Source organism: Homo sapiens, chromosome 17 (assembly GCF_000001405.40).
Source record: "Homo sapiens chromosome 17, GRCh38.p14 Primary Assembly".
NCBI classification, from domain to species: Eukaryota; Metazoa; Chordata; class Mammalia; order Primates; family Hominidae; genus Homo; species Homo sapiens.
The window spans coordinates 63,432,042-63,449,893 of NC_000017.11; the positions used below are offsets into that span (position 1 = coordinate 63,432,042).

The 17,852-nt window shown below is 57.5% G+C and overlaps 1 protein-coding gene across 4 annotated transcripts, besides 9 other annotated features; it reads right to left on the minus strand.

The window, feature by feature from the left end:
- Nucleotides 1-262: 262 nt before the first annotated feature.
- Nucleotides 263-14,598, minus strand: CYB561 (cytochrome b561). Of its 4 annotated transcripts, none has more exons than NM_001017916.2 (6): nucleotides 13,857-14,598; nucleotides 5,305-5,519; nucleotides 4,013-4,111; nucleotides 3,647-3,750; nucleotides 3,045-3,202; nucleotides 263-2,553 (listed from the first exon to the last, which is right to left on the minus strand). In NM_001017916.2, exons 2-6 carry the CDS (start codon nucleotides 5,504-5,506, stop codon nucleotides 2,361-2,363), a joined length of 756 nt encoding a protein of 251 aa, NP_001017916.1. In that variant the 5' UTR covers nucleotides 5,507-5,519; nucleotides 13,857-14,598; the 3' UTR covers nucleotides 263-2,360. The 4 variants fall into 4 exon arrangements, with proteins under 4 accessions (NP_001017916.1, NP_001906.3, NP_001017917.1 ...); NM_001915.4 differs by having other exon boundaries at nucleotides 14,204-14,265; NM_001017917.2 differs by lacking the exon at nucleotides 13,857-14,598 and adding an exon at nucleotides 8,686-8,786.
- Nucleotides 3,040-3,207: a silencer, noted in NCBI's record as "fragment chr17:61512442-61512609 (GRCh37/hg19 assembly coordinates)". NCBI's record gives its function as "represses an EF-1alpha promoter that drives an FKBP-Casp9 reporter gene in an ReSE screen in K562 erythroleukemia cells {active_cell/tissue: K562}" and the evidence as "EXISTENCE:reporter gene assay evidence [ECO:0000049][PMID:32094911]".
- Nucleotides 4,517-5,431: an enhancer, noted in NCBI's record as "H3K27ac-H3K4me1 hESC enhancer chr17:61513919-61514833 (GRCh37/hg19 assembly coordinates)". NCBI's record gives its function as "activates a minimal SCP1, AML or CMV promoter by ChIP-STARR-seq in naive H9 embryonic stem cells {active_cell/tissue: H9 hESC(naive)}" and the evidence as "EXISTENCE:reporter gene assay evidence [ECO:0000049][PMID:30033119]".
- Nucleotides 4,727-5,021: an enhancer, noted in NCBI's record as "tiled region #1575; HepG2 Activating non-DNase unmatched - State 13:Ctcf, and K562 Activating non-DNase unmatched - State 14:Gen5'". NCBI's record gives its function as "activates a minimal TATA promoter and a strong SV40 promoter by Sharpr-MPRA in HepG2 and K562 cells {active_cell/tissue: HepG2 | K562}" and the evidence as "EXISTENCE:reporter gene assay evidence [ECO:0000049][PMID:27701403]".
- Nucleotides 5,432-6,346: an enhancer, noted in NCBI's record as "H3K27ac-H3K4me1 hESC enhancer chr17:61514834-61515748 (GRCh37/hg19 assembly coordinates)". NCBI's record gives its function as "activates a minimal SCP1, AML or CMV promoter by ChIP-STARR-seq in naive H9 embryonic stem cells {active_cell/tissue: H9 hESC(naive)}" and the evidence as "EXISTENCE:reporter gene assay evidence [ECO:0000049][PMID:30033119]".
- Nucleotides 13,962-14,521: a silencer, noted in NCBI's record as "silent region_8815". NCBI's record gives its function as "represses an Ori minimal core promoter by ATAC-STARR-seq in GM12878 lymphoblastoid cells {active_cell/tissue: GM12878}" and the evidence as "EXISTENCE:reporter gene assay evidence [ECO:0000049][PMID:35858748]".
- Nucleotides 14,692-14,881: a silencer, noted in NCBI's record as "silent region_8816". NCBI's record gives its function as "represses an Ori minimal core promoter by ATAC-STARR-seq in GM12878 lymphoblastoid cells {active_cell/tissue: GM12878}" and the evidence as "EXISTENCE:reporter gene assay evidence [ECO:0000049][PMID:35858748]".
- Nucleotides 14,851-15,664: an enhancer, noted in NCBI's record as "H3K27ac-H3K4me1 hESC enhancer chr17:61524253-61525066 (GRCh37/hg19 assembly coordinates)". NCBI's record gives its function as "activates a minimal SCP1, AML or CMV promoter by ChIP-STARR-seq in naive H9 embryonic stem cells {active_cell/tissue: H9 hESC(naive)}" and the evidence as "EXISTENCE:reporter gene assay evidence [ECO:0000049][PMID:30033119]".
- Nucleotides 15,022-15,161: an enhancer, noted in NCBI's record as "active region_12544". NCBI's record gives its function as "activates an Ori minimal core promoter by ATAC-STARR-seq in GM12878 lymphoblastoid cells {active_cell/tissue: GM12878}" and the evidence as "EXISTENCE:reporter gene assay evidence [ECO:0000049][PMID:35858748]".
- Nucleotides 15,665-16,477: an enhancer, noted in NCBI's record as "H3K27ac-H3K4me1 hESC enhancer chr17:61525067-61525879 (GRCh37/hg19 assembly coordinates)". NCBI's record gives its function as "activates a minimal SCP1, AML or CMV promoter by ChIP-STARR-seq in naive H9 embryonic stem cells {active_cell/tissue: H9 hESC(naive)}" and the evidence as "EXISTENCE:reporter gene assay evidence [ECO:0000049][PMID:30033119]".

A 17,852-nucleotide genomic window follows, 5' to 3' on the forward strand; every position in this document is an offset into this window, starting at 1 on the left:
ATCCAGGCCACCCTCTCAGGCTGAGAGGAAAGGGCTTATCTAACCATGTGGAAACAACACTGCCTCTGCTGGGTCGAGACTGGACAACCGCTGGGCCTTTTCAGCCCCTAGGCCATGATCAATATCACTAATCGCTTTACCTTCTGTGCCCAGCCTGCGGATATTCAATTTCTCTCAGGCCTAGAGCTAACGTCATGTGTCTGGCTGCTAAAAGCTCCGGCTCCTTTTATTACCACAGTAAAGGAAGATAACAGGCGAGAGGTCTGCTGTAGACATTTATTGAATCATCTGTTGCACCAACAGCACATTGTATTTCACAGAAGATTGGCCACAGGCAAAATAAAATAACCCACCACAAATCCGCTTCTGGGGGCCTTCTTCAGCTCCTTAGTCATCCAGTGTTCACTTTGGCAAACAGACCAGTTTACAGACTTTTGTTGCAAATCTAAGGTTCCATTTCTCTCTGTAGCATTCCGGCTAGAGAGAGACACGATTGTACTTTGGTAGTTTGTCTAAGGCGGAGTTTTCCCACATGTAAACATTTCACTATACAAGTGTGTGCCAGCTGATTGAAGAACTGACGGCACCCCTACCCCTGAAGAGTGTACAGTCTAAACAGGAGGCGAACACTGTCATCCGGACAGGCTGAGAGGAGGCGGGGAAAGGGGCTCGAAGGAGCCTGGGCAGACCCTGCTGGGGAGGGGCCTGGACTACAACCACCTGCTCCCAGAAATGACACTGCCTGAGGCAGGAGACACAGCAAAAGCCAACTATGGGAAATCTGAGCATTAGAGGAGACTGGCCCCTTTCTCTAAGACGGCCTCAGGTAGGAAAAGGGCAGCCATTACAAGAAGAAGAGTCGTCAGGTTTGGAAACTGTATATTAAGCCCTTCACTGAAGTACACAGTGTCTGTGTGTGTCTCAAGCTAAGCCATGCTCCTCAAACACCCAAAAAGAAAGGAAAACAGGGAGAGAACAGTCACCAGATCCAAGAAGCACATGATCGGTGTTCTTTTTTTTTTCTTTTTTGAGCCTGTCGCCCAGGCTGGAGTGCAATCTCAGCTCACTGCAAGCGCCATCTCCCGGGTTCACACCATTCTCCTGCCTCAGCCTCCCAAGTAGCTGGGACTACAGGCGCCCACCACCACGCCTGGCTAATTTTTTTGTATTTTTAGTAGAGACGGGGTTTCACTGTGTTTGTTAGTCAGGATGGTCTTGATCTCCTGGCCTCGCACACGATCAGTGTTCTAATCACACTATTTCCAGGCCGAAGCCAAATGGTGACTCAGCTAACATGACACTCTTTATGGGGCTGGAGTGATGTGCAGACACCACGGGGGATGACTGTAGTTGTTCTGACTCCATCCTGACTTCCTGGAAAGATGGGCAGCAGATAAGGAGAAGGCTCGTCCTCCAGAACAGAGGCAGCAGCTCCAGCAGCCCCAGGGGGCTCTAGCCACAGCCAGCAGCAGCGGTTTTTCATTTAAAAAATTATAAGGTTTGTGCCCTCTGCCTCCCAGCCTGAGCAGAGCCTGGGTGAGCCTGGGAGAGGAAACCAGAGCTGAGCCGCAAGGGGGGTGCTACAAGGAGGGAGCCCCAGCAGGAAGGGGCTGCAAGGTGCCCCCCATCCCCAACCCCCATGTCTGGAGCAGCCTGGGAGGAGGCCCGCCTGCATCTGCCAAGAGAAAGTCTGTCTGAAGTCATGGGCTTCTATCCCCTCTCCCACCAAAGCCATCCTAGGGCTAAAGGGTTAAAGAAGAGGAAGGTCAGGACTACAGCTGGGCCACAGCCTCATCTCAGAGCTTCCCAGGGGCCAGTCCCTCCCCTCTCCTGGGGAACCTTGCTTTCACCACCAACATACTTTACACATCATATCACTTGCTCCTCTGCCAAAGGCCGGGCCCATTTGTGCCACGTGTTATTCAGGCTGGAGGGACTCCTTGTTTGAATTCAGCAGCCATCGTGGCCTTTCCAGGCCTGTCCCTGAGGCCCCCCCAGTTTCCCCTGGCCTTGCCCCAGGCATCTGCTGCCAGGAGGGTGGGGCCTCCTCTCTCGCTTCTTTAAAGATCTGTGCTCTGCGACCAGGACCGAACACCCGAAGTCCTACCCAAAGCCTTCTGCACTGAAGGGGGCAACAGAGACACGGGAGCCACACACAATGAACTGGTCTATAGCAGCGGAGAAAGGAGAAGCAGAGGAGGCGGAGACCTGACCCCAGAAAGCAGCACTCAAACAGATGCAGCTGCACCCACGCGCCCGCCTGCTGCCAGAGCCACTCTCCGGAGCCTGCAGTCCTGAAGACGCCTCAGCAGGGGCAGGCAAGAAGACACCCCGCGAACCCCCAGGGCCGGCCGGGCGCATCACTGGGAGCCGGGGCTATCTCCCTCCGTCAGCGTCTTGAAGTCCATGGAGAGGGCCTGCTCTTCCGCCTGGGAAGGCCGCTTCCAGTCGGCCCGGGTCAAGATGTAGAGCACCGCCCCACCGAAGCAGGCCAGCAGCAGGCCCAGCACGTTGGCCAGGACACCCTCGGGCTCAAATGCGCTATACTTGCCCCTGCAGGGGTGAGAGGAAGGGAGAAGCTGCCCAAGGGGTCACAATTAGGCCAAATGCCCTTTGTATCCTGGGCCTTAAAGATGCCATGGGGATTCCAGCACCAGCCCCTGCCTCCCTGCCCTGCCTGAAGAGAACAACCATCCCCCCGCCCCCAACCAGCAATCTCCAGCTATGGCTCACAGACAAAAAGAGATGGGCAATGTAAAAACCTAGATCAATATTCTAGCTCTAAGCAGTTGTCCTGCAGATCCTGCTGCGTGGTGGGAATAAATAGGGTGCCCATAGCCCAGAAGTTTCTTTGAAAGGGTAAAATCAAGAAAGCTAACCAAAGCCAAGCCCCAAGCACCCAAATCTTAGCAAGCATAACTACAGCCACCAGTTGTGACGCCACGAGAGGCGGCTCAGGAAGCCACAGCTGGGGAAGCTGAAGGCAGGGTGAGGTCTGTGCAAGGGTGGCCCAGGCCCTGCCCTCTCCCACCCAGGACACTCACCCGAGGTTGAACAGCAGTGCCTCCTTCAGGCCCAGCAGGGCGGTGCCCACGGAAAGGAGGAAGATGGTAGCACCAAAGAAGATGTGCTGTGGGCGGTAGCGGCTCCGCAGGGAGAATGAAGCTCCGGGGAACAGGAAGAAGCTGAAGCCCACCAGCCACTAGGATTTGAAAGGAGACGGTTCCGGGACAGGGCGGCCGGACACCCCAGCAGCCGAGGTCGGCCAGGCCCACACCCACGTGCCCACGTGGCGACTGTGAGCCCCTCAGCCCTGCCTGGTTTCCTTCCTCCTCAGCACAGTGGTGGGAGGAGCACTAAGCGCTTAGGGACAAGGGACCGGTCCCCCAACGCTTGAGGCCTTGGCACACTCAGAAAGCTGGGCTTGTGGCCAAAAGTGCTGAGTCAGCCATGGGGCGCCTGGGAGCTGGGCACCCTTGGCCGCCAATCCTAGCTTTGCACCCGCACAGGCCTGGGAAGGCAGCTCTCTCACCTGCACACACCCCAGAAATCAGGCCCTTCCATGAGGTACATTTCAGCCCAGCTCCCCTCCTCCTCCCACCTCCCTGGTAGGTGGCCCCAGGCCCGGGGTGTTGGAAGGACTCACCTGCACAAAGTACAGGACAAAGACAAGGATCCCGCACCAGCTGTGTAGGCTGTACAGGTCAGCGTAGCCCTTCTTCCTGTGGTAGTCGAACACCGCCACCAAGCCTGGGCCAGAGACAGGTCATATGAGGACAGGGTTGGATGTGGAAAAGGAAGGTGTAAGATGACCCAGGGGAACCAGCTAGCGGGACTTCTGGGCTTTAGTCCCAGCTCGAGGGCTGCCAGCACCTAGTGGCCCTGCAGGGGATGTTTGGGGTGGGGGCGGGCCCATCACAGCTCTGGGGAGGGAACAGAGCAGGTGAAGCGGCTGTTTGCCATACCTGAAGAGGCAGGCAGGTGGCGGGGAAGGCCGCGCCCGGGAACTCACCAACCAGGGCGATGACGAGCGCAAAGATGTGCAGCAGCCCGTGCAGGACCTTGGTGGTGCGTTTAGCTTCGTTCCTGAAGACACGGTAAACCAGCAGGGCTGTGGGAGGTGAGAGAGGGAACGTGAGTGCATCCGCCTGTGCGTGAGGCCTCCTGCCCCAGCAGCAAGGAGGCACCTTGGTGGAGAGGTGATGTGAGCTGACGGCTTGTAACAGGAGCCTAGCTGCAGGAACCGGAGGAGAAAGCCAGGTTCCCTGGGGACCCTGGGCAGCTCCTGGCCTTCTCTGAGGGCACCTAGGGCTGTGTGCACCTTAACACCCCTCCCCCACCCTCCAACCTCCCCCAGCTGTGCACAAAGAGGGCAGGGCCGGAGGCTGCACCACAGTCCCCACCACCAGGACAGGCAGTGAAGGCAGCGCCTCTGCCCTCGTCCCCACCTAAAGGAGCTGCCCGGCCCAGCAGACGCCCCCCTCCACCCACCTTCTTGTCAGGTGTCCTGCAAATTCCAGGCTGTGTTTGAGGTCCACTGTTGGTCACACTGAGGCAACAAGCAGCCTCTGAGTTCACCTGTTAGCCACGTGGCTCCTCACACAGGCCCCCACCTAAGCCTGGGCAGATGGTCCTACTCCTAGCAAGCAGGCGCCTGGCTCCCAAGCAGAACCTTGTGATCCCAGCCTGATCTCCCGCGTCCAGAAGAGGTGGGCAAGGCCAGGTCACGTGAGGAATGCCTCTTAGCTTTCTGCTGCTCAGGAATGGCTGTCACCAGGACCACCTCTAGGAAGAGCGGGTCAACCGGATGCAGATCCCGCTTCCTGGATCCCTGGCCTGGAGGCAGGTGGAGGCCAAGCACTGCCTTGCTCCTGCCCCAGGGGGAGGCGCTCTAGCTCTGCCAAGTCCAAGACCAACAACACACATGCGCGCGCACGCACGCACGCATACAAACTCTCACATATGATTACTTTTTTTCCCTCAATTCAAACCACCCCTGCAGCAGGGCCTGGCTCGGAGCCTCATTCCTTTCCCTCTGCTGCAAGAAGTGCCCGCCTTGGATGCTGTGTGTGGAAACGAGGTGAAAATGCTGGACCAGGCTGGAGAGGAGCTGCCACTCACCAACCTCAGAGCCTGGGTTTGGATTCCATCTCCCCAGGCTCTGAACCAGCTTCTGTCTCTGTCTTTTCTAGAATCTTAGATTTGTCCAACCAGAAGAGACCGCAGGGGTGACAAGACCCCTGCAAACTGCCTCTCAGGGACCCCCACAAGCCCGGGAAAAGAGGAGCGGCCCATGGGACTCACCATTTCCCTGCAGGAAGATCAGGCCTATGACCATGCAGAGGGGGTGCGCGTTGAACTGCAGGTCGCTCTCCCAGGCAATGCCGCCTCGGTACAGCCCGAGCCACGCGCCGGTCATGGCCACCAAGGTCAGGCCCAGCAGCTGGGAGAAGGCCACGTAGTAAGGCAGTGCTGTGGGGGTGGCTGCCGCGGCCCCGCCCTCCATGCTGAGGCAAACGCTGCAAGAAAGAGCAGAGCTCAGAGGAGCAGCGCACAGCACCCCGAGATGCGCACAGCCCCCGCGGATGCACACAGCCCCCCAAGATGCGCACAGGCCCCCCGAGATGTACACACCCCTCAAGATGCGCACAGCCGCCCCCGGAGATAAGCACGGTCCCCCCAGATATGCACAGCCCCCCCCGAAATGCGCACAGCCGCCCCTGCTAGATGCGCGCAACACCCCCCCCGGGTTGCGCACAGCCCCCTCCAGATGCGCACAGCCACCCCGCTAGATGGGCACAGCCCCCCCGAGATGCACACAGCACCCCCAGATGCGAGCAGCCCCCCTGAGATGCGCATGTCCCCCCCACGGATGCGCACAGCCCCTAGAGACTGCGCCTGAGATGCGGCGCGGCTCCTCCCACGGCGGCCCCGCCACCCTCCCCCGAGGCTCCCGCTGGAAGCAGCGCTCGCTCTCCTACCCGCAAGCCCCTTCCCACCCATCGTCCTGAGGCAGAGGTCTCAAGTCTCGGGAGTGGCTGGGGGGAGGGGCCCAGCCTCCCCACGGGGACAGGCGTGACCTGGGACACGACGCCAGGAGTTCCATATGCGGTGAGGGTGCAAGGAAAGATACCCCAAATTCTAGTGAGCTCAAGGGCCCAGTGCCCGGCTTTGTTTTCTGTTTCATGAGGCCCTGGCCTTCCCTGGGTGGGCTTTACAGGTGAGTTACACAGGCAAGCGCGCTCCTTGACGGGAAGGAAGGGGCTGGTCACACCTTTTCTCCAGACGCGTCATGAAGTACATCTCGGGAGAAATGGGAAGTCTCCCTCCCCCATCCTGGTTTTTAACTCCATGCTGGCGATGAGGAGGCCTCCCCACCCCACACCCAGGAGAGCCAGCCCCGCTCCCCCCACGCCCCCGCCCGCCCCCCACCCCGCTCCCCGCCCGGCCGCGCCTGCAGAGTAGAAGTGCCCCGACCATGCTGCACACAGGGACCTGTCAGCACACAGGGACAGGGCACTTCCCCTCCACACCAGGGGCGGGGCGGACCCGCACTCTAGAGGGGCCCTCAGGGAGGTTTCCAAAACTGAAGGCCCCCAGAAACGAGGCCTGCGAAGGGGCCGGGTAGAGCTCAGCACGGCTGTCCCAGGTGCTCGGCCCCACGTGGCCCTCCAGGAGGAAAGGAGAGCGGGTGGTTCCTAGCGAAGCAGCAATGAGAAGGCCCCGCTAAGAGCCCAAGGGAGTGCCCAGTGCCTGCACAGCTTCATGCCGGCCGGAGAGCACCCAGCAGCTGGGGATGGGAGGAGAGGCGGCAGGAGGAGAACAAGCGGGGCTCTCCCCTCACCCGGCAGCGGCCTGTGCGCCACGGAAAAGTGCTGCCATGGCCCACAGTTGCCACTGCAACTGCCACCACCATGGCCACCACAAGCAGACCCCAGAGCACTGCTGCTGCCCCCCATCCCGCCCCGGTTCCCCACTGGCCCCTTGCCACGGTCCAGCCTCTCCTGGCAGCAACTGTATCAGAACTAGGGGGACAGTGGCCAGCACAGGGGCACTGACCCCCTTCACACCCGGCACACGCTCTGCCCTGCAGTGCCCAGGAGCTGGTTTTCAGTCCCTCCCAGTGATGGGCTCCTTCTCTGCTCCCCAGTTCTCTCTGCCACATCGGACAACTGTTGGCAACTCCACCATTAAAGGGGGGGTGTGTGTGTGGGCCGGGTGCGATGGCTCACACCTATAATCCCAGCACCTGGGGAGGCCAAGGCGAGTGGATCACCTGAGGCCAGGAGTTCAAGACCAGCCACAACATGGTGAAACCCTATCTCTACTAAAAATATAAAAATTAGCCGGGCATGGTGGCTCACACCTGTAATCCCAGCTACTTGGGAGGCTGAGGCACTAGAATCCCTTGAGCTCAGGAGGCAGAGTTTGCAGTGGGCCAAGATCGCACCACTGCATTCCAGCCTGGGTGACAGAATGAGACTCTGTCTCAAAAAAAATTTTTTTTAATTAAAAAAAAAAGGGTGTGTGTGTGTGCTAATAATCCACACGCACTGCAGTAGAATATGGATCAGCAAAAAAGGTAAAATGACAGGCCATCAGAATTTGATCTATATCCTCACACACCTTCTTCCTAAAACACATATGCATCCTTTTATAGAAGCAGGATCATTTATTCCATTTTCTAACCTGCTTTTTAACTGAGGGCGTAGCACACATGGATGTTTGTGTCAATGGATACGCGCCCACATCATCATTTTCGTAACCTCACACTCTTGCATTGCACGGCCATTTTTTAGCCAACTAGTTCCCATTGTTCAGCATTTAGCTAGCTTTCGATTTCAGTTTTCCACCAAATAAACAACAGGATGTGGTCATCTGCAAACTTCTCTGCAGGGAATCCTGAAACAAGGGCTAGGTTCTGTTTTAGACTTCTGACACATTCCATCAAATCATCTCCCAGAAACATAGCTCCAATCCACATTCCCAGGGTGGACGGGAATACGGGATTCCAGAAGCCCCAGCCAACAATAAATCCTATTTTTGGAACTCCTGCCTCTGTCCTTATCTGTCACCTACACGGGTATCAGTTCTGTCCCCGCCACCCCAAATTCAAGCCCCATTTCTGACGGTTCACTACTCATCTCTACCTGGACATCCCACAGACGCTTCAAACCCAGCTCGTCCCAAGTCACCTTCTCTCCCATCGTCGCCAAGTTCTCTCATGCCCTCCCCACTAGCTAGCAGGGCTGCCCTTCTTCCGGGCCCAGGTGACACCTCAGCTCCTCCACAGAAGGCTGCCCAGGCCGCCGCATGCTGGCACCCCTCCCCTCACTTCCCTCCTGAGCATCCTCACTGCCCCACCCAAGTCAGGGCCTGCAGCTTCTCCCTCTTCAACGTGACAGACATGCCAGGGACAAAGCCAGCTCCCAACATCATGCTGTCCCCTGCGTAAGTGCCCCCGAGTGCCAGTGAAATGCCAACTGCATGGCATGATCCTGCCCGTTTCCATCTGCAGCCCCCACTGTTCCTGCTAGGCCCTCTAGAGGAGACGCCTGGGCTCACAGAATCCAAGGACATGGCCCAGCCTGGCTCCCTGCTGTGGGCCCACACCCCTGCCTCCACTCCTCAGGCACCGCGGTGCGCAGATCACTCTGTCCCCAGGCTCTCCCGGAGCCTCCTTACCCTCGCGGTGCCCTGTCTGCTCCTCGAAGGCAGGGACGCTCTCACTCCTCCTTGGGTATCTTTGGGTCTCTAATACCCCGAGTCTAACAGGAAAATGTACTGAAAGAAGTGCTGTCCCCCCTGGTCACTTGTTGTCTGTCCTCCTCTCCAGGTCGCCGCCTCCTTTATTAGATTCATCCCCAGAGAGCCTGGCTGCAGGCAGAATCTGATTAGCTACAAATTAGGAAGAACAGAGGGGACATCACCTCTCCCTCTGCTGGGTGACCCGGCAACTTCCTCACACCTCGTGGAGTACAAAGGGCAGGAGAGGCCCGCAGAGCGAGGGGCCGCTGCCCACTCCTTCCTTCCCACCAGGCTCCCTGGAAGACAGTGGACATCAGAGCCAGGCTCTCTTCTCGCAGCGACGACTGCCTGCGGCTTCAACATCCTACAGTGAAATGCCCGGCCTGGCCTCCCGGGGAGTCGGAACCATAACATTGTTTGCTCCCCACCATGGCAGGGCAGACGTGTGCTTGGTGTGTCAGTAGGGTGGGGACCCAACAGCCTGTGAGCACCTGCTCTGTGCTGGGCACTTCATGCCATCTCTAATGTCACCCTTAAATGACACTGTGTGGATAACAGGAGCATTGCCCCAATTTGACAGGCCAGGAAATGGAGGCTCAAAGAGGACAAGCGACAGGCCCCCAAATTCCCATCAGCAAATAGCAGCTCAACTCAACCCGCAGCCACCTGCACTTGGCCAGGTGCTAGGGCCACACAGAGGGGGCCTGGTCCCTGCCCTAAAGGGGCGTGCAGATGAGCTTTGGTACAGACCCAATTTTCAGGTAAGGGTGGTACAAGTTCAAGCCAGGAGCTAATCTGGGCCTCCAAGACCCGTCCCAGCATGCACACGGAAGACGGCACCCCTGCTTTGATGTCTGTGGGCAATAGCATCTCTAGCTCTCCTGCCGAACAGTGGCTGCCTGCTCGTGGCTTTGGCCTTTCCAAGGCCCAGGAACTAGGGTGGTGCTGTCAGTCTTTCCAGAGACTGAGGCCAGCAAGGGTCTGTGTTGGAGCTCACTGAGGAAGCTGCTTTGACGCAGGGGAAGCTCCCGGGCGGTGCCCCCCCTCCTGTGCCAGTCCTCCTGCGTCCTCCCCGCCTCGGTTCCACCATGGCACTAAGCACTGGTGCGTGCAAGACAGCAGGCCCTGACCGAAGGCAAGAGGGAAGGGGTTACAGGAGGGCAAACAAGCCGAGGAAGATGCATTTCCATTTGCTCCTAAGGCGGGTGCCCTGGCCTAGGCAGCCCAGGCACCCGGGGCACCTGGGCATCTGGGAGGAAGCCAGAGATGAACAGCGGCCTCTGGAATGACAGCAGCCTGCTTCTGATTCAAAGGCGAGGCTTCAAAATCTAAGTGTAAGGATGAAAGGAAAGCCCATGGCTGGCCTGCAGGCGACCACAGTCCGTAGGTTCTGAGCGTGGCTCTGTGCTTTACAGGAGATAAGCGGAAGATCCCTTCCGCAACAGGACTCTCGTGAGGCCATTCATTGGACATAATTGATAACCCATTTGTGTGCAGGGAAGGGCTGTCCCATGCCAGAGGTGGGGGTGTACAGGGATAGACATTCTGGTATCTCTGGACAGAATCTGACCCACCCACAAATGTGTCTGCTGCATTTGCAAACCTGGACATTGGGTGAGATTTCTCCCTAGGAAGCAAGGCTTTGAATCGTGGCCCTCATTTCCCAGTCTTGACAGCAAGAATACTCTCTCGCTCTTCCCTCCTCACTGGGCAGCCCTGGGACACCGGCTGTTCTTGGGCCCTCTGTGTTCTCAGAGCAGAACTGTGGGCAGCAGCTTCAAGGCCTGGAAGCTGCCACTCCCCACCCCCAAGGGCTCCACTGCCCTGCAGACCAGAACCTTGCAACCAGAGGGAGCTCACGTAGCCCCTCACACAGTCACTTGCCTTCCTCTGTGACAGCTCAGGATGAGGGTGACAGATCTCTGGCAGTTTCTGGATCTTAGAGCTGTGAGAGTCACCCTCGTCCCCACCCACTCACCCTACCTGCAGCCAGAATCCACTTAATGCAATCAGCGCATTAGGGACAGCATGACCCGCAGATCTTCACTGAGCCAAGCATCGCTCTCCCTCCCGGTGCCCACTGCGTTTTATTAAAAGGCAACCAAGACTAATCTCATTATTGGGGACCAGACACTGCACATGGTGCACAGCCTCGGGGGCGGAAGGCGGAGCAGGGGAGGCTGGGAAGCGGGCAGCCTGGGCTGGCTACAGCCCTCCTTATCAACAGCAGAGTTTGAATTGAGTTAGGAAAGACTGTGACTGCGGAAAGGCCGATATCTCTTCTTGATGGGTGAAGGGGAAAACAGCTCAATTGCCCTAGAGCGTCCTAGCATGTGATGAAGGAGAAAGCAAAGTGTGGTGTGAGCTATTAGGGTACTTTCTTAGCACCCCAGTAGCCCCAGGAAGAAGGGGCTTCCCAGGCAGTGCTCCCCATCCCATGCCAGTCCTCCTGCATCCTCCCCACGCTTGTACCAGCATGGCACTAAGCCCTGGTGCATGCAGAGACACCAGGCCCTGACCAAAGGGTAAGAGAGAAGGCATTACAGGAGGGTGAACAAGCCGCAGGGGCTGCATTTCCATTTATCCTAGGGCGGCTGTCCTGGCCCAGGCAGCCCAGGGACCCGGGGTATCCAGGCTGCTTGGACCAGGTACCAAGGAACTAGGTACCCAGGAAGCAGCAGAGCCTGAAGTCAAACACTGAGCTCCTTTCTCCCACAAGACAGAGGGCTCCCAATGCTTACAAACCAAAATGTTTCCATTTCCATGAAAATCAGAAGAAAAAAATGAACATTTAGGGTTGAGGAAAATGTTGCAATTTTTTAAAACTTATTTTAATTAATTTTTTTGTTGTTGTTGTTAACAGTGTCTACCTCTGTCACCCAGGCTGGAATACGATGGCATGATCATAGCTCACAGCAGCCTCGAACTCCTGGGCTCGAGGGATCCTCCCACCTCAGCCTCTCAAGTAGCTGGAACTACAGCTATGCTGAAATGCCCAGTTAATTTTTTCTTTTTTTGGAGAGATAGGGTCTCACTATGTTGTGCAGGCTAGTCTCAAACTCCTGGTCTCAAGCAGTCCTCCTGCCCCAGCCTCCCAAAGCTCTGGGATTACAGACAGACATGAGCCAGCCCTAAAATGTTTTGTTTTTAAAATTAATTGTAATCCAGTCTGGACTATACTTGTATTTATACCAATGCAGTTGTAAAATATAATTTTTATTAATTTTTTTTTTTTTGAGGCTGGAGTGCAATGGCAAGATCTCGGGTCACCGCAACCTCTGCCTTCCGGGTCCAAGCAATTCTCCTGCCTCAGACTCCCCGAGTCTGGGATTACAGGCGTGCTCCACGATGCCTGGCTAATTTTTTGTATCTTTTGTAGAGACGCGCTTTCACCACTGCGCCGGGCCAATTGTTATTATTTTTTTTATGGAAGACGGGGCCCGTGAAGGCCAGAGGGCCAACGGCCCATGAAAGGCCCAGCGCAGCCCAGGTTAGAGAGATGTGATTTCAAAACAGACTCATTATTTATAACCATCAGCTCCTGGACAAGCCAAGTCCCTTCTCCAAGCCTGCTTCCTAATCTATAAAGTGGAGGATATCTGGAGCTACCTTATTGAACACAGAAGGAGTAAGTGGATAAAGGTGTGCCAGCGCCCAGCACAGTGCCTGCCACAAAGTAGGCATTCCATCAAAGACCAATCTTACAAAAACGAAATCTGGTCCTAAGAGCACCTTAGAAAGAGTCACACTGCTGACACATGAGGTTTGGGGCCACAGAGAGCCAGATGGCAGCCGTCTCTAATAAATCTACACTCCATTGCTGTCCACCATTAGCCCCTGCACACCAAGCAGAAGCTCCTGGGGCTGGAAGAACACAGGATGGTCTGCTTTTAATCTGTGACATTGTATATTCCCAAAATTCATTTATGAATTGTTCAGACAGTAGAGTGCTTTTTCCCAGTGAAGCTACGCTTTCAGAGGGGGTTAATTTCTCATTCCCCTCCACCAATGCCATCTAATGCCACTGAACCATCCCAGTATTAGCAGGAGCCCAAGCTCTGCCTGCCAAGGAAAAGTGGTGAGGGCAGAAAAGTAGTAGGACAAGGCTGGGCACGGTGGCTCACGTCTGTAATCCTAGCACTTTGGGATGCCAAGGCGGGCAGATCACTTGAGGTTAGGAGTTCGAGACCAGCCTGGCCAACATGGTGAAACCCCGTCTCTCCTAAAAATGCAAAAATTAGCTGCGTGTTGTGGCACACACCTGTAATCCCAGCTACTAGGGAGGCTGGAACAGGAGAATCGCTTGAACCCGGAAGATGGAGGTTGCAGTGAGCTGATATTGCCCTCTGCACTCCAGCCTCCTGGCAACAGAGCAAGACTCCATCTCAAAAAAAAAAGAAGGAAGGAAAGTAAGGAAAGCAAGAAAGCAATAAAGCAAGAAAGAAAAGGAGTGGGACAAGCAGGGTGGTTCCACCTCCAGCTCTAGGAGGCTCCCTCATGCAAGGAGGTGGGGCTGCCACCGCCTCGTATTTTCCTGCCTCCATCAAATTTCACCGGGAGAAATCCAGGCACCTAGAGGAGGTGGCAAAGCTTTTTTTTTTTTTTTTTCATTAGCTATTAAACCAAAGGGGCAGAATCTAGGCGCCCTAGATGTAACTTCATTTACGGAGTCAGAAAATCCACAAAGGCTGCCAAGGTGGAATGAATGAGAGGAGGACGACCAGAAAGGAGAAGTCTGGGAAGGGGACCCCAGATCCACACGGATGATCCTCGCTCCGTGATACAGTCGGGGACAGGGCAGGGAGGGAGGGAGGGAGGGTGGCCCTGCCATCTCCCAGGTGTCAAGGTGGCGGCAGCTCCGCCCTCAGCGCAGTTGGCACCGGCCTGACCCACCACAGGGCCACCGAGGCCACCGAAGCCATGGGGCTTTCCCACTCGGGAAACTCCCACCCTCGCGCTCAGAAGCTGGGGGCGTCGGGAGACACAGGCGGGGACCTGCGGCTCCACGTTGCAGCCCGGGCCCTGCTCGGGGCAAGAGGCGGTGGCTCCGGTTTCAGATTTCAAGAGGGCAGCCGTGGCAAAGGCTGGTTGGTCCATTTGCACCCTACCTTGCTCTAGAACGCGGCGCAGGAGCAAAGATCCAAACTCGGGGTCACCAGCAAGCGGGGGTCTCGGTTCTAACTTCAGCAGAGACCCGGCACCCGGGCAGGCCAGGGCAGGGGCCGCCTGGACCGGGAGAGGCTCGGCTCCGAGAGGGCGGGCGAGCCCTGCAGCCCTCGGGCCCAGGGTGCGGGTCGGCGCCGCAGTCCAGTGCGCGGCCGCAAGGGGCAGGTGCGAGGCCGGCTGCTACTCGGGAGCCCCGCGCTGTCCCTCCCTGCGCAGTCAGGGCTCACCTGGGCCGCCCCCGCCCCGCACCCCTGCGCGCTCCGCTCCCACCCCCAGCCCGGCCTCCTACCTTGCCTACCCGAGCGTCCCTTCAGCCTCCCCGCGCCGCGCCCGGGTCGCTTGGCCGGTTCTGCGGGCCGTGGCGCGACGGCGTCGCCATGGCAACCGGGCGGCGGGCTGGGCGGTGTCTCCGGGACCGGAAGTGGCGTACGCGGCCCCCGGGGCTGCCCCGCACGTGCCAGGTCCCCGCGGTTGCGGCCACGCTCGGGACCGGGCCCTGCCAGCTCCGGGCCCGCACGTGGGCGAACCGCGGCCACCGTGAGCCCGGCCTCGCGACCTCCCTCCGGGGCCCCCATGATCGGGGGTGCGTGGGATCTGCGGCCTGCGGGGGTGGAGGGCCGGGAGCTCCCCCGGGCCTGCCTCGAGGGCCGCGGGATTCGTCCTTGCGAGCCCCGACTGCGCACGGAAGGACCTGGGGTCGGCCAGGCCTGGGGGATGGGACGGGCCCCGAGGAGAGCGGGTGCCAGGGGCGAGACCCGCCGCCCTTCCCCGGCTTGGTCCCGCGCTTCCTGATTTTCTCGCTCCACGCCTCCCATTCTGCCCTCCACCTTCTTCCCTGCCCCGCCCTCGCCCTGCCCGGGCCCAGGAGGCCACTAGATGTCAGACCCGGTTCGGGCCTTGGCCACGCCGCCGCTCCGGGAGCCCTGGGGGCACCTCCCCAGCCCCCACGGGGGAGACGATACTGCCGGGAAGGCCCGGACTAGCCCCCGCCCCCGCAGAGTAGCCTTCGGGGAACACCGATTCCACCAGGCTCTCACGAAAGCCGAGAGCTTGCCGTCCGCAGCTTCCCCTGCCCAAAGCGCAGAGAAACGAGGGCGCCGAGGCCAAGACCAAGACCGGGAGCCAGCCCCTTCGGAGCCCGGTCCAGGCCCCCGGTCCAGGAAGTGCTGTGGGTAGATAAGGGGCCCAGCTCAGACTTCCTACAAGCTGGGAAGAAAGGGTTCTTTCCTGTCTGATGCCGGGCCAGATGTAGCAAGCGCCTAGGGGTAGGAGGGAAATGGGGTTTCCTCCCCGCAGAGGGAAACCGGCCTCCATTCAGGAACGCCCTCCCCCACCTGCCCTCCAGGCACCGAGGTTCTGGGAGGCCGGGGGGCAGGGAGACCTGCTTACTTGAATGCGCTTTGTGTATTGCCTGTGTATTGCCACAGGCAGTGGGCAAGATAGGCCCTGGGGATCCAGTACTCGCTTAGTACACAGAGAGCAGTCTCCAGCGCCAGGCGAGACGCACAGGCGTGTCAGCTGCATATGGCACACGGTGGCACATGGCACACCTTCCACGAGCAGACACAAGGGGCCGACACAGCAGGGCCCACCCCCTCAGAGGGACCAAGCTTAAACCCTCCAACAACAGAAAATTTGTAGAGTATCTTTCAGTTGGAGGAAATTAATGGATAATTTAAAGTAAGAAACAGTTTCCTTAGCGTGCTAACAGGCAGAATCCCTGTGGATTGAAGGTGGAACTGAGCCATGTCCTTTGTTTGGTCTGTGGATTTAGACGTGGAGGAGGAGTCCTGACCGGCTGAGCAGGGCTGAGTTCCCTCGTGAGAGCCCCGGGCCTTCAGCCCCTTCCAAAGCCAGGAGAGACTCCTGCTGAGGGGTGATAGGGGCCCTTTGGCTTCCCCCTCACCCCACGGCCCAGCAGCACGGGGCTGCAGGCTTTTCCCTTAGGAGGAAGAGCAGCCGCCTCCCTGCCAGCAGTGTTCTCAAGGGCCTGCTTCAAGTGGGGAGGGGTGGGTGAGGGTGTTCTGACTGAGGGAGAGGCCTGCACACCCGCTGCATGGGGGGGCTCATGGCTACACCTAACCCATTTTAAAGAACAGGCAACGCCACCAAACTGCTCTCTGGCACTAGGGCCCAGAGGCCTTGCCCCAGCTCCCAGATGTCCCAACCCAGGACGACAGACACCCAGACTAACTACCTTGCAACCCTGTTCCTGCTGCCGAAGCTCCTGCCTTGGAAGCCTGAGAAGTGTGCAGTCCTTCAGCTTGGGAAAGGTGGGAAAGGAGAGGACCCCTCCTGCCCTTTCTTGAGTGGCACAAGATGAGTTCCAGGGCCTCCTGAGTTGTGCTAACGCCTGTAATCCCAGCACTTTGGGAGGCCGAGGCGGGCGGATCACCTGAGATCGGGAGCTAGAGACCAGCCTGACCAACGTGGAGAAACCCCATCTCTACTAAAAATACAAAATTAGCCGGGCGGGGTGGCACATGCCTGTAATCCCAGCTACTCCGGAGGCTGAGGCAAGAGAATCACTTGAACCCAGGAGGCAGAGGTTGTGGTGAGCCAAGACCGCGCCATTACACTCCAGCCTGGACAACAAGAGCAAAACTCCGTCTCAAAAAAAAAAAAAAAAAAAAAAGGAAATGCTGACTGTGTTTCCATGTTTCCACTCCCTTCCCACATCGCAGAACCACGCTAGCCTTTCTGTTTTCAGATGCACCAAGTTCACTCCCACCTCTCCATGGAATGTTCTTTCCTGGATCATCTCTGGTCACATTCTCTCAAATCTCAGCTCAAACATCACCTCCTCAGGCCTTCCCTGACCATCCAGAGGGCAGCTGGGGCAGGGATTAGGAGGTAGGAGTGCTCCTGGATTCCGCGTGCTGGGCAGCCAGGCCTAGAGTGCCCCCTGGTCTCTGACAGAAAGCATTTAAGGAGGAGGAAGCATCAAGGAAGCAGGCAGAATGTGAATAGAGAGCTGGAGACTCAGGCCGTAGACCCACCTGGCACCTGGCTAGTCACTTCTCCCTTGCTAGGGTTACCAGATTCAGAAAGAAGAGGAAAAAATAAAAAAAGGCTTCCCAGTTAAATTCAAATTCAGGCCGGGTGCGGTGGCTCACACCTGTAATCCCAGCACTTTGGGATGCCGAGGTGGGTGGATCACCTGAGGTCAAGAGTTCGAGACCAGCCTGACCAACAAGGTGAAACCCCGTCTCTACTAAAAATACAAAAATTAGCTGGGCAAGGTGGCAGGCACCTGTAATCCCAGCTACTTGGGAGGCTGAGACAGGAGAATTGCTTGAACCCAGGAGGCGGAGGTTGCAGTGAGCCAAGATTGTGCCACTGCACTCCAGCCTGGGCAATGGAGTGAGACTCCATCTCAAAAAAAGAAAACCAAAAAAAAATTCAAATTCAGTTAGTTTTTTCAGCATGAGCATGTCCCAAATATTACATGCAGTATACTAAAGATGTATTCCAGCTGGGTGCCATGGCTCATGCCTGTAATCCCAGCACTTTGGGAGGCTGAGGTGAGCGGATCACTTGAGGTCAGGAGTCCAAGACCAGCCTGCCAATGAGGCAAAACCCTGTCTCTACTAAAAACACAACAATTAGCCAGGCATGGTGGTGGATGCCTGTAATCCCAGCTACTGGGGAGGCTACGACAGGAGAATGGCATGAACCCAAGAGGTAGAGGTTGAAATGAGCCAAGATCATGCCACTGCACTCCAGCCTGGGGTGACAGAGAGAGAATCTGTCTTAAAAAAAAGATGTATTCCTCACATGTGAGCAGATGTCCTGTGTTTCATCTGACAATCCTACTGCTCTTGCTCGGGTGTGGGAAGGGCAGGGGCCCAGTTCTAGCCCCTCCCAGCAATGGCTTCCTCCCTCATCTCTGAACCAGTTAACCCTCATTCAGTAGGGACTTCAGGCAGAGGCCCTGA

Bases quoted from the DNA above. Each gene is read 5' to 3' on its own strand.
- CYB561 (NM_001330421.2), bottom strand. The intron at 4,112-5,304 runs GTGAGTCCCATG...CACCTCCCACAG, and splicing joins GATCTTCCTGCAGGGAAATG to CCCTGCTGGTTTACCGTGTC. The intron at 3,203-3,646 runs GTGAGTCCTTCC...TTCAAATCCTAG, and splicing joins TTGTCCTGTACTTTGTGCAG to TGGCTGGTGGGCTTCAGCTT.